General features: G+C 40.9%; 1 protein-coding gene and 1 long non-coding RNA gene across 30 annotated transcripts in view; one reads left to right on the forward strand and one right to left on the reverse strand.

The window, feature by feature from the left end:
- The window catches only part of GREB1L (GREB1 like retinoic acid receptor coactivator), a 283,881-nt gene that overhangs the window by 190,143 nt on the left and 79,715 nt on the right, over positions 1-14,023 (forward strand). For 15 of the 29 annotated variants that reach the window (XM_047437819.1, NM_001142966.3, NM_001410868.1 and 12 more), the window contains 4 exons: positions 7,147-7,263; positions 7,895-8,014; positions 9,026-9,163; positions 11,850-12,035. In XM_047437819.1, the coding sequence (XP_047293775.1) occupies positions 7,147-7,263; positions 7,895-8,014; positions 9,026-9,163; positions 11,850-12,035 (561 nt within the window). Of the gene's footprint in view, positions 1-2,572; positions 2,702-7,146; positions 7,264-7,894; positions 8,015-9,025; positions 9,164-11,849; positions 12,036-14,023 lie in introns of all 29 variants that reach the window. The other 14 variants (XM_006722547.4, XM_011526179.4, NM_001410867.1 and 11 more) reach the window with 1 other exon arrangement.
- Positions 1-14,023, reverse strand: part of GREB1L-AS1 (GREB1L antisense RNA 1) — a 71,004-nt gene that overhangs the window by 52,331 nt on the left and 4,650 nt on the right. The gene's annotated exons all lie outside the window — the stretch shown is intronic.

The raw sequence follows: 14,023 nt of genomic DNA on the forward strand, positions 1-14,023 counted from the left end.
ATTTGGCCTCTTCCATATCAAGGTGATAATTAATTCTTCCATATTTTCTATTATCTTTATATTTTCAGAGTCTAAGTTTATATCTTTGGTCCATTTGATTTTTTTTTTGACACCTGGTGTAAGATGTTGGTACAACTTTATTTTTTTCCTATGTACATAATTGCCTCAATATAACTTACTGAATGGTTAACTTAGGTTGATTGGCATCTTTTTGACATTGAATATTTCTGCTCAGAAGCATGGTATGTCTTCGTATTTGTTCAGGTGTATATTCATGATTTTCGTAAGTTTTTTTTTTAATTAAAAATTATTTAACATTTTCTTTTTTTTCTTTTTTTTTTTTTTTTTTTGAGACAGTGTCTCGCTCTGTCAGCCAGGCTGGAGTGCAGTGGCATGATCTTGGCTCACTGCAACCTCCGCCTCCCAGGCTCAAGCAATTCTTCTGCCTCAGCCTCCCAAGTAGCTGGGATTACAGGTGTGTGCCACCACACCCGGCTAATTTTTGTATTTTTAGTAGGGACGAGGTTTCCCCATGTTGGCCAGGCTGGTCTTGAACTCCTGACCTCAGGTAATCCACCCGCCTTGGCCTCCCAAAGTGCTGGGATTACAGGCATGAGCCACTGCACCCAGCTGACATTTTCAAACACATATAAAAATAGAATAATAAAGTAAACCACCACCATGACCTATCACCCAGTTTCAGTACTTATGAACACATAGTGATTATTATTTAATCTAACTTCCTCCTTCAATATGTTAAGACAAATCCCAGATACTATGTCCAGAAATATTATGACGTTTTCTTCATGTAGTTGCATACATTTCTTATTAAGCTTATTCATAGGCATTTTATTTAACTATGGATTGTTGTTTATATATATGAAGATTTATTTCTGTAGATTAACTTTGTACCTTCTGATTTTTAAAACATTATTCTGTACCAATTTGAATTCATTGTTTTAAAAATATAAGATGAATTATCACTCTTCAAATTAGGGATATGCTAAAATTATAGGTATAAACTAGTATAGAAAGCTGCTAATCTTCCAAACAATATGACTGTGGCCTGAAACATAATGACAGATCTGTGTAAGAGCATAGCAAACTTAACTCGGATTCTTGTCCTGTAAGGCTCTGTTAAGACATGAAAAACTGGGGTCATCTTCAGTTTCCCACAACTTTGTAATGTTGTGTGTGCACTGGGTCCTTCCAGCAGACCTTAAATCACTCACAGGTGAGTAAGTCAGGCCCTTAGAGAAGCATGTTAACTCATCCAAGCCAGTGGGGGACCATTTCATTCTTTTGAGTTCTGTTGAGAAACAATGATTAGATGAATCAGGAATCATGTTGTGGGATGAATAATTTTCTAGGTAATTTCTAAGGGAGCACCATTAGTAAGTATCCTGTTCCTTAGAGCATGCTCTCAGACTCTCAGAGAGGTTTGACAGTCCCTTTTGACACTTTCCTGTGTTAATCGATCTAGCTGTTCTGCTGGAGTAGTCAGGGATTTGGGGTCTCTACTCATTTAGAAAAACTCTAATTGGCTTGAATCTTTCTCTCTTCCACAGCCTGTCTCTGAAATAGAATGTGGTTTTCTGGGCTGAATTATTTTCTTAATCCAAAGAGCTTTCTTTTGGATGTTCCTGGCATTGCAGTAAATTAATTCTAATTTATTAAAAGAAAAAAAAAACTAAAGCAACTTTCTTTCAGAGAAAAATGCTTTCTCCTACATTTCAGTGAGTTGGTTTGCATGACACTTTTAAAATAATAAACTCATCTAGGTAGAGATAAATACATCTCATTAAAATCTGGTTTTGAGGCTGGGCATGGTGGCTCACACCTGTAATCCCAGCACTTTGGGAGGCCAATCCAGGTGGATCACTTGAGGTCAGTAGTTCGAGACCAGCCTGGCCAACATGGCAAAACCTCACCTCCACCAAAAAATACAAAAATTAGCTGGGCGTGGTGGCGTGCACCTGTAGTCCCAGCTACTCAGGAGGCTGAGGCAGGAGAATCTCTTGAACCCAGGAGGAAGAGGTTGCAGTGAGCCGAGATCACACCACTGCACTCCAGCCTTGGCAGCAGAGTGAGAATCCATCTAAAAAAAATAGTATATATATATATATGTGTGTGTGTGTGTGTGTGTGTGTGTGTGTGTATATATATGTGTATATATATGTGTGTATATATATGTGTGTATATATATATATATATATGGCTTTGAGGGGGTCTGTGGAGACCACCTCCACAGTTAACTTTGACTAGGTTAAATGGCTGCTGCTATTTAAGGTAGTAATACTTACCTCACAACACTGTTACACGAATTAACTGAATTAATATATTTAAAGTGCTTAAAATAGCATGCATCACGTGGTAACTTCTAGTGAGTGTTTGTTAAATAAGTAAAAAATTAAAAACCAGTCCACATAGAAATGGACTTTTTAAAATGTCAGAATAGTTCAAGGAAAGGACTGAAATTCTATAATCTCCTTTTTCTCAACTCTTGTTGAATTAACTTCCTTCCTGCATATATAAATAGTTGCTAATTTAAACAAACTCTTTCATTTTAAAGATTCGCCGATTCTCAGTCCAGCTAATTCTGCAATCAATTTAAGTGGAGCTCAGGACCTGACCCGGAATAACAATGTTGTGAAACCACTGGCTTTATCTTTGCAGGTTGTAGGGAAGACTTTTGCTGCAGGTGATGTTTTCCTCACTTATATATCTTTGGTAAATACATAGTCCATAAAAGACTTGTGTGACATTTAATTGACAAATTGATAGAAGAAAACAGAAGCTGCCTCTCCCTGCCAGTTGAAGAGAGAAGTGTGGCTGTCTATAATAATGTACTAGTGTATGAAGCTTTATGTTCTCTGCCTTCCAACCAGAAGAGTCAGGGAATGACACTTGTTACTTGGAAGTGACATAACAATCTGATTCCATTTAACAAACATTTCTTGGGCACCTGCTATAACTAGGAACTGGGAATACAAAGATAAGGTTCAATCCCTGACCCCCCAACTTCCTTGTGATCTAGTGGGGGAGACAGACCTCTGATAAGATATTTTCAGTGTACTGTAGCAAATATGGCAATGTACAGAAGAACGCAGAGCAAAGGGTTTTAGCCCAGCATTGTAGGAGTAATTAAGAGTAAGTTCTCAGAGGAGCCTGGTCTTTGACAATGAGGAGATCTTCACTGTACAAAGGAGTAGAGGAAAAGCAATTCAGATTCAGGGAACAGCAGAAACAATGGTTAAAAGGAAAAGAAGGGAAGGGGGAAAAGCAATATGATGTACGCAAGAACTTCCAGCGATTTGGACTTGATAGAACCATAAAATGCAAAGCTCAAAAAGTGGCAAGAGGTGAGTGGGTGGTGGTTAAGGGAAAAGTTATAGGCAGCCAGCCTAAGAAATGTGGATTTCACTCTATAACTTATAGAGCAGAGGAATGGCATGGTTTGATTTGAACTTGAGCTAGATCATTTTGGCTGTAATGCGTAAGAAGAAGACGAGATAGGAAAACTAGTTGGAGGTCATTTCAGTCGTCTCGGTGACAAATGATGAGGTCCTTGGCTAGAATGATAACAGGTTGCAGAAGAGAGGACAAATTAGAGAACTACTCGGGAAGTGAAACTAGCAGGAATTAGCTGATTAACGTGAGCATCAAGGAGAAGAAGGGGTCTCAATAGACATTCATCTTTCTGGGCTTATGGTGATTGCCATCATCTGAGACAGGGATACAGAAGGAGGATCAGGTTCTCCAGTGGGAGATTGAGAGTTCAATTTTAGAAATGCTGAGTTTGAGATTCCTATAAGACATCCATGTGGAGCTGTTCAACAGCCATTTAATTTATCATAGGGATAATTCAGGACTGATGGTATAGAGTAGAGCCACCAACATATAGTTAAAGTCATCAGGGTAAATACTATAAGCCAAGGAGAGATGTAGGCTGAGGCAAGCTGTGAACAAAAGATAGGCTTCATCCAGGCACAGTGACGCCTGTAAACCCATCACTTTGGGAGGCCAAGGCAGGAGGATCATTTGAGACCAAGAGTTCCAGACCAGCCCAGGTTACAAAGTGAGACCTTGTCTCTACAAAAGATAAAAAAATTAGCTGGGTGTGGTTATGTGCACCTGTGGCCCCAGCTACACAGGAGGCTGAGGCGGGAGGATGGCTTGAGCCTGGGAAGTCAAGGCTGCAGTGAGCCATGTTTGTGCCACTGCACTTCAGCTTGGGTGACAGAATGAGAATCTATCTCAAAAACATAAAGATAGAATCCCAGAAAAGTTCAGTGGTGTGTGTGTGTGTGTGTGTGTGTGTGTGTGTGTGTGTGTGTGTGTGTTTTCTTTTTCTGAAACAGGGTATCTCTCTGTCACCCAGGCTGGAGTACACTGGTGCGATCTCAGCTCACTGCAGCCTCAACCTCCCAGGCTTAAGCAACCCTCCCACCTCAGCCTCCCAAGTAGCTGGGACTATAGGCACATGCTGCCGTGCCCAGCTAATTTTTGCATTTTTTGTACAGACAAGGTTTCGCTATGTTGTCTAGGCTAGTCTCAAACTCCTGGAGTCAAGTGATCAGCCAGCCTCAGTCACCCAAAGTGCTGGGATTACAGGCATGACCCATGGCACCCAGCCAAGTTTAGTGGTAGAAGAAATTTTAAGAGAAGTAGAAGAATGAGCATAAAGAGAGCCTGTCATTTTTGGAAACTTTTCTTTTTTCTTTCTTTCTTAATTGTAGAGACAGTGTTTCCCCATGTTGCCCAAGCTGGTTTCAAACTCCGGGGCTCAAGTGATCCTACTGCCATAACCTCCCAAATTGCTGAGATTATAGGTGTGAGCCATTGTGCCTGGCCATTTTTGGAAATTTTTCAACAGTTAGGCATCATACTTTACACAGCCCACTTTTGTTCTTACTCAGGTCCAACAATTCTTGCAGGATCTATCTTCTGGTTGGATTACAGACTTTGAACAATGGAATCAAGTTTTTACAGCATTAAAAGAATCAAGTAATAGATCAGTAATCATCATGGTTACTAAAGCGATCAGATGAAAGGCTGAACAACTTTATAATGCCAAGGATTATGCTGACAACTTTTGAACCTACTAATCAATCTTAATATCATAAGAAGAGAGAAAACTGGCTTATGTGCCTCCTGATGGAAGTACTGTATACCACAGTACTTATAACTCTTGCCAAAAAAAAAACCTGAATTTGATCAAACCTCTATATCTAATAATTAGTTTATTAGAAATACAGGGGACAAGAGAATAAGTGACACCACAGGTATATAATCAGCAAAATCTAGAAAATGGAAAATTCTGCCAGGTTTTCAGCAAATTAATTGTAAGAAAGAAAAGGAAGGACATCTTATAGATTAAAAGAGGTTTCAGGGACGTAGCCACTAAATTCAGTATGTGCATCTTTTTTGAGTTCCAATTTGAACAAGCCAACTGTTTTAAAAAAATATTTTTTAACAGATAATTAAAAGATAGTTGGGGAAATTTTTGAATACTAATAGGATATTTTATGATATTAAGAAATTATTGGCTATATGCGGTGGCTCATGCCATCAAGCAAGATGGGCTGTGTTGGTAAATGTTGAAATTGGATGGTGGGTATGTAGATGTTTATTATAGGCTCATGCCTATAATTTCAGCACTTTGGGAGGCTGAGGAGGGTAGATCACTTGAACCCAGGAGTCCAAGACCAGCCTGGGAAACCCTGTCTCTACAGAAAAAAATACAAAAATTAGCCAGGTATGGTGATACATGCCTGTAGCCCCAGCTACTTGGCAGGCTGAGGTGGGAGGACCGCCTGAGCCCAGAAGTCAAGACTGCAGCGAGCTGTGATTGCACCACCACACTCCAGCCTGGATGATGGAGTGAGACCCTGTTTCAAAGAAGAAGAAGAAAAAAAGAAAGTATTAATCACTGCTAATTTTAAGTATAGCAATGATATTACAGTTATTTTTAAAAGAGTCTTTTTCTTTTAGAAACTCATACATAAGACCATGTGTGGTGGCTCACACCTGTAATCCCAACACTTTGGGAAGCCAAGGTGGAAGGATTGCTTGAGGCCAGGAGTTCGAGACCAGTCTGGACAACATAGCAAGATGCTCTCTCTTAAAAAAAAAATCTTAAAAATTAGCCAGGTGTGGTGGCACACTCCTATAGTCCCAGCTATTTGAGAGGCTGAAGCAGGAGAATCGTTCAAGCCTAGGAATTCAAAGCTGCAGTGAGCTCTGAGCCCGCCACTGCACTCTAGCCTGGGTGACAGTGAGACCTTGTCTCAAAAAAAAAAGGCCTGGCACGGTGGCTCATGCCTGTAATCGCAGCACTTTGGGAGGCCGAGGCGGGCGGATCATGAGGTCAGGAGATCGAGACCATCCTGGCTAACACGGTGAAACCCCATCTCTACTAAAAAAAATACAAAAAATTAGCCGGGCATGGTGGTGGGCGCCTGTAGTCCCAGCTACTCGGGAGGCTGAGGCAGGAGAATGGCATGAACCTGGGAGACGGAGCTTGCAGTGAGCCAAGATCGCACCACTGCACTCCAGCCTGGGCGACAGAGTGAGACTCTGTCTCAAAAAAAAAAAAAAAAAAAGAAAAGAAAAGAAAAGAAAGAAAGAAGCACATAGAAGTATTTATGTACAAAAATGATATGGGTTTGCTTCAAAATAATTCACAGCATGCATGTGTGTATGTGGAGGGGACGGAGGTAAGGGTATAGATAAAGCAAGATGGGCTGTGTTGGTAAATGTTGAAATTGGATGGTGGGTATGTAGATGTTTATTATCCTATTCTCTCTACTTTTCTATATGTTTGAAACTTTCCATGATGCAAAGTTAAGAAAGTGTATATAAGAATTTTTTTCCCTTCCTCCCACCCATCATCTCCAAAGACTTCACTGAAACTGATTCCAGAAGATCTCTTGGGGTCCTAGGAAATTGTTTCTAAGTGACATTTAATTTTAATGAAGATCTTCCTCTGACAGTTGCAGTTGGTTTTGTATAACTGGACTGAGTCCTATCCGTGAGGTTTCTTGGAATCCTAGAGTGTGAGGTCTATCAGATGGTTCCAGCATCCCAGAAAGCAGTGCCCCGCCCAGCCTCTGTTCTGAGCACTCCTCTCCTTGTGTTCTACAGATGCTGCTAATGGAAACAGTAGCCATGGAGGGAAGGGCAGTGCATCCAGCTCCACTCCAGCCCACACAGGGAATTACTCTTTGTCACCACGACCTAGCTATGCATCAGGAGATCAAGGTACAATGCCTGTCGTAGAGTTTTGTAATAATGCACTTACCAGTGGTTACAAGTGCTCCAGATTTTGTAATGAATTATCTGGCAACACACTCTAGAGTTTTTTCTCAGTTCGTCATACAGTGTTTTGAAAGTTTGTAATTGGTGTGAACAGTAATGAGTAAATATCTTGGGATTCTATGTGGATGACCTAACTGGGAAATAATGTTGAAACAAATGTATAAGGAAGTGTCTTGAAAAACCATGGGTTTAGCTGATTAAAGTACAGGATTCAAAGTTCTCTGTTGTGTGATCCTGAACAAATCTGAACTTTCCTTTCTCCTTTTACAAAATGGGTATAACAACAATATTTGCCCTACAACTCCACAAGGTTGTGGGTAGAATCAAATGAAATAACCTACATAAACTTGGGAACTGTAAAACAACATACAGATGTTAAGTGGCTGTTATTGTAATGTTAGGTTACTAATGTGGCTTTTTTTTAAACTTTACCTCTAAAGGAGTGATTTAGACTTTCTGAGTATAATCAAATTAAAGGTTCTGTATTACTTATATTACTCTGGCGTTCTTTCCTTTCTTCCACATGGCTGAGAACAAGACTATCTCTTTTTTTTGTTTTTTTGTTTGTCTTCAGCTACCATGTTCATTTCTGGGCCACCAAAGAAACGACACCGGGGATGGTATCCTGGGTCACCTCTCCCCCAACCTGGCTTAGTTGTACCTGTCCCTACAGTTCGCCCTCTTTCAAGAACGGGTAAGATTTTAACAGAAGATGGATTGTAAGTGTGTTTTTAATTAGCAGAGATATCTTCTACTTCCATTCTTTCCCTGAATTCTTGACAATGAGTTATATGAGGATATTGATAGTAGCTAATGTTTTGTCCCGATCACATTTGCCTTCCCTACATGCACAAGATCATTACAACTGATCTGAATTCAACCTTTGGCTTAATTTCAACCCATAGCATTGAAAAGCCATTCGTTATATGGGACACAATGCTACCAACCCACCATCATAGAGCATATATGGACTTGTTTTGCTAGTAGTGGTGTTAGATTTTCCCTGCTGTTATCTGGTTCTTTATGTGACCCACGCTTATTATTTCTGACCTGGATGGTTCAGTCTGTGGCTAGAAACCTGAAAAACCAAAACCAACTGGCTCTCTTTCAGAACACCTAACTGTAGCCATTTGGTATCCACAGTTCAAACATTTGTCTACCTTGCTGAACAAACCACAGACAATTGTAAATATACTGGTTTTAAGACATAAATGAGTTATTTAAATGTTTGTTTAAATAAATAGTTTTAAAGACTACATAGACATCTTATATACACAAATAATTATGCCAGTCTGTCACTATGGTTGCTTGTAGGTAGTACTGGTTAATGATGAGTTCATCCTTCTTCACACTTTTCTATACCTTTCAAAATGTATGTAATGAACAGATATATGCCTTTGATAATCTTGGGGGGAAAGCTAAGATACCAAACAGGATCCAAAATATTGCATATGGAAAAAACAACTGGAAGGAAAATCAGCAAAATGCTAAATAGTAGTTGTAGCCACATGTTATGATTATGGTTAATTTTTTTTCTCCTTTTGTTTTTTTCACTTATCACTTTACACAATAAACCTAATGAAAAACACAACAAACCATTAGATTTCTAATGCTTCTCTGTTAAAAGTATTAAAACTGCATTGCTTTCTATTGTATTTCATTTAGTTTTCACGCCATCTTTCTTGTCAAACTTTTTTTTTTCCAGAGCCCCTTTTATCTGCCCCAGTTCCACAGACCCCACTAACTGGAATTTTACAACCCAGGCCCATTCCTGCAGGGGAAACTGTAATTGTTCCTGAAAACCTGCTGAGTAACTCAGGAGTTAGACCAGTAATTCTGATAGGTAAGGTAATGGAATTCCAAGTTGCCTGTGTCTGCTGGAATCTAGGAGTGTTTTTCCATTTCATTGTGTTTTTTCATGTATTCATGAAGATATTCATCCATCTGTTGATTCTGTCAGCTTTTATTGGTCAGCTCTTTCATGCTATATTAAACATGTGATTAGGAGCTGAGGATAAGGCAAAGTCTTTTTGCCCTCAAGGAGCACTGTTTAGTGGGGGAGTCTCACCTCGCATGAGCCACCAGCGTTGGTAAATAAGCATTACAACACATGGGCGATACCATTATAGCACACTGTGACATGTGAGCTCCTTAGAGGTTCACAACCAGGAGCAACCAGAACTCAGAGCTCTGAGAGAGGGCTTACCTCTGCCTGGAGGGATCTGAGAAGACTTCCCAGAGGTGTTGGTTAAGCTGGGTCCTGAAGGTTGGTCAAAGTGGACAAGGTCAGGGAGGAGACATTCCAGTCAAAGGGAGCCAAACCACAAAGAAATGAAACAAGCCAAGCCAGCTGAAAGACCCTACTCAAGAGAACCAAGAGGCCCTACAGTTGCAGGTCTGAACCTTAGCATCTTTGAGGAGGCTGAGTCCTTCCAGGTGGTCTACAAGTGGAGGTATAGACATTTAGGGGTCCCTACATTCCAGGACTAACTTAGTGCTTTTCATACCCATTTCAGGAGACTCCTTGGTTTAGGGCTGGCCTAGGCCAGAAGGAGACTGCTTGCTCTACCTTAAGGACAAAATAGATAGGGTGTTTAAGTTCCCCACATCTTTAGGGTGTGTTTACATGCAGTGTTATTTGCTTTTTGGGTTGGCCTGAGCCTGCCTAATTGGATGGTTTTGCTTGGAGTCATGTCCTTTACCTGGTTGCTTTATCTGCTAATCCTAGATCTGTAGGTACTGAGGGGATCCCAGTTGCTTAAATGCTGTATAGATTAGGAAGCTCTTTTTGAACATTAACATAGTGCCACTAAGCTTTGGAAAGATGCATAGAACGTGGGACCCTTTGGTCCTTTGGTGCCTGCCTTTTAGAAAGTCTCACAGAGGGACTATCCTCTCCATCAACCACCAAAACAGAGCATATTTTGGACATATTTTATCCTATCTATTTCAAAACAATTTGAGACTGTTTACTGACATTTAGGAAGACAACCTCACAAAAATAGCTAAGATAACAAAGGAACAGGGATCTCCAAGCACCTGAAACTAGAAGAATCTTGCTATTAATCAATGAATTTAGCTTACTTTTTTTTTTTTTTTTTAAAGAAAATCTCAGGAATATCTCCAGGTGGATAGTGTCAGAAAGGAAAGGAAAGGGGAAAGGAAAGGAAATCTCAGGAAGTGAAACATGTATTGTCATTTGTTTCTGTTTTTGTTTTTTGTCATTGTTTTTTGAGACAGAGTCTTGCTCTGTCACTCAGGCTGGAGTGCAGTGGCACAATCTCTGCTCACTGCAAGCTCCGCCTCCTGGGTTCAAGTGATTCTTCTGCCTCCTGAGTAGCTGAGATTACGAGCGTGCACCACCACGCTCAGCCTAGTTTTGTATTTTTAGTAGAGATGGGGTTTCATCATGTTGGCCAGGCTGGTCTCAACTCCTGACCTCAAGCAATCTGCCTGCCTCAGCCTCCCAAAGTGCTGGGATTATAGGCGTGAGCTGCACCCCACCTGGCCAGTGTTTTTTGTTTTTGAGACGGAGTCTCTCTCTGTGGCTCAGGCGGGAGTGCAGTGGCGCGATCTCGGCTCACTGCAACCTCTGCCTCCTGGGTTCAAGCGATTCTCCTGCCTCAGCCTCCCATGTAGTTGCATGCCACCATGCCTGGCTAATTTTTGTACTTTTAGTAGAGGCTGGGTTTCGCCTCTACTAAAGGTGAAAATGTTGGCCAGGCTGGTCTCAAACTCCCGACCTCAGGTGATCCACCCGCCTGGGCCTCCCAAAGTGCGGGGATTATAGGCGTGAGCCACCTTGCCCAGCCATATTGTCATTTGTTTGTTTTCTGATTTCTTATCTGAAAATAAACTTGATCAGGGACTTTATCAGAAATATTTTATCATTGCAGTTTTACAGAGGATACAGACATGTTTTGCAAACTCATCAGTCTTCCAGCAAAATATTAACATGTTCCTTCCATGAGAAACAGAGATAATATGAGTACAGTTGTCCCTTAGTATCCCTGGGGGATTGATTCCAGGCCCCGTCCCATATCAAATCGAATATCCTCAAGTCCCTCATATAAAATGGCACAGTATTTGCATATAACCTATGCACATCCTCCCATATACATTAAACCACCTCTCCATTGCTTGTAATACTTAATACAGTGCCTACACATCACGTCATTCACATGAATTCAGTGTACTACTCAGCCCACAGCAAATTCAAGTTTCACTTCTTGGAACTTTGTGGAATTTTTTCTTCTGACTATTTCAGTCCACGGTTGATTGAACGTGGAACCCACAGACATAGAGGGCCAACTGTATTTTCTTTCCTGTTCATTTAACTTAATATAAGGATAGAATTTGGAGCATCCAAGTGAATTCCCTGGGATTGATATGTTTGAGTGATTTGTTTGGTAGCTATCTCAGAGGGCAGGGAATTTTGTTAAGCAGCTTTGATCGTCGTTGAGCAAGTGTACCTGGTTGGACCATAAAAAGAAATGTTGAACTGTACTGACCTGCTTCTATTGGGACAGGCTATGGCACTTTACCCTATTTCTATGGAAATGTTGGTGACATTGTTGTGAGTCCTCTGCTGGTGAATTGCTACAAGATTCCACAGTTGGAAAACAAAGATTTGGAAAAATTAGGGTTGACCGGCAGCCAATTTCTGAGCGTGGAAAACATGATTCTTCTGACGATACAGTATCTTGTGCGGCTGGGTAAGTCATTTTCCATAATCATTTGCTGGTGACTACTTTTGAGGATTTTTTGTGATGTACTTTTTCTTTCTTTCTCACATTTATCCTCCTATCTCTTATTTTCCCTCTTTCGCTTCTAATGTTCTTTCCCTTCAACCCCATTCTCTGTAACTTTTCCCTTTCCTCTCCTTCATTTCTTTTCTACTCCTTTCCTTTCCTCTTCTTTGGGTCCTAGAGGAGATGAATTGCACCACCTAGTGTCCAGTCTCATGATGCTGCAAAGGTCTCCAAAGTAGTTAAGGTAGGCAGAACCTTAAAGGGTTGTGCCTTGAGCACCCCTTCTCTGGGGAGCTTGGCCAGGCCACCTTTCTGAAAGTGCACCTACCATCTGGAGTGCAAACACAGCCATTGTCTTAAACAATTATTTTCCAGTTTTCCACTTAGCCTTTTTATCTTGTTTATCCACTGGCCCTACACCCATTTTTTTTCTTCTCCAGCTACACCCCTTTGATGGAGTCCCATCGTGCTTTCCATCATTGAGGTCATAACTGTGGACCTCCCTGGAAGGTCTTTAAGCTATAGGGTAAGGGGGATATGTAGGTCATGAACCCTTCACTTCCTCTATCTGATATATTCTCCGAAGCCCCAAAGTGGGTGTATGCAGGTGCCCTGACAATACTAGAGTGGCTTAGCAGCATTTACATCGAAATGTCCTTTATTTTGCAAATGGCAGTAGGCCATCTAATTATACACTCACTCTATCACTTCAAGCCACTGATTTACTTAGAAAAATATTTGAGATGTGGCCGGGCACGGTGGCTCACGCCCGTGATCCCAACACTTTGGGAGGCCAAGGTGGGCGGATCACCTGAGGTGGGGAGTTCGAGACCAGCCTGACCAACATGGAGAAACCCCATCTCTACTAAAAATACAAAATTAGCTGGGCGTGGTGGCGCATGCCTGTAATCCCAGCTACTCAGGAGGCTGAGGCAAAAGAATTGCTTGAACCCGGGAGGCGGAGGTTGCAGTGAGCCCAGATCACGTCATTGCACTCCAGCTTGGGCAACAAGAGTGAAACTCCATCTCAAAAAAAAAGAAAAGAAAAGAAAAGAAAAAAATATTTGAGATGTAAAATTACACATAAAAATATTAGTATGCACTCTTGTGAAATTTTTTAATTTTAGAAAATACTTCAGTGTTAGGAGATAATAAAAACACTGGACTAAATAACTTTAAAAGAAAGAAAAAAGCTTTATTAGGGCATATTCAGTGTTTGGTGCATTAGCTAGCAATCTTGACTAGAACTCTGTGCCCTGAGAGGCTGCCTTGACTTGGCCTCTGCTTCGACATGGCCTTTTGAAATTTACAAGGCACCAATTTCATGATAAACCTAGGACTTACTAATGATGCTTATTGAAAGGTAATACAATTATAAAGCTCATCTGGGTCCACAGCTCATTTGATGACATAATTTTAATTGCTACATACTGAAATTAGATTATAGACTGTGTTCTAAGATCTAAAGCCAACTTCTAAATGCACCCAGAATTAGTAAAACCAGGCTTCATAAAGTGATGATATAGCCAACCAAGAAAATCACTATAGCACTCTTTTTCAGTTTGTTTGTTTGTTTGATTATTTGTTTGTTTGTTTTGAGACCGAGTCTCACTCTGTTTCCCAGGCTGGAGTGCAGTGGTGCGATCTCGACTCACTGCAACCACCACCTCCCATGTTCAAGCAATTCTCATGTCTCAGCCTCCCGAGTAGCTGGGACTACAGGCGTGAACCACCACACCCTGCTAATTTTTGTATTTTTAGTAGAGACAGGGTTTCACCATGTTGGCCAGGCTGGTCTCAAACTCCTGATCTCAGGTGATCCACCTGCCTTGGGCTCCCAAAGTTGGGATTACAGGCATGAGTCACCACGCCCGGCCTCCTTTTCAATCTTAATAGCAATTTTTAAAATCGGAGTCTAATTTAATTAAATGAACCAAGTGGTCAAAATAAGA

This window comes from Homo sapiens, chromosome 18 (genome assembly GCF_000001405.40).
Source record: "Homo sapiens chromosome 18, GRCh38.p14 Primary Assembly".
In the NCBI taxonomy this organism is placed as follows: domain Eukaryota; kingdom Metazoa; phylum Chordata; class Mammalia; order Primates; family Hominidae; genus Homo; species Homo sapiens.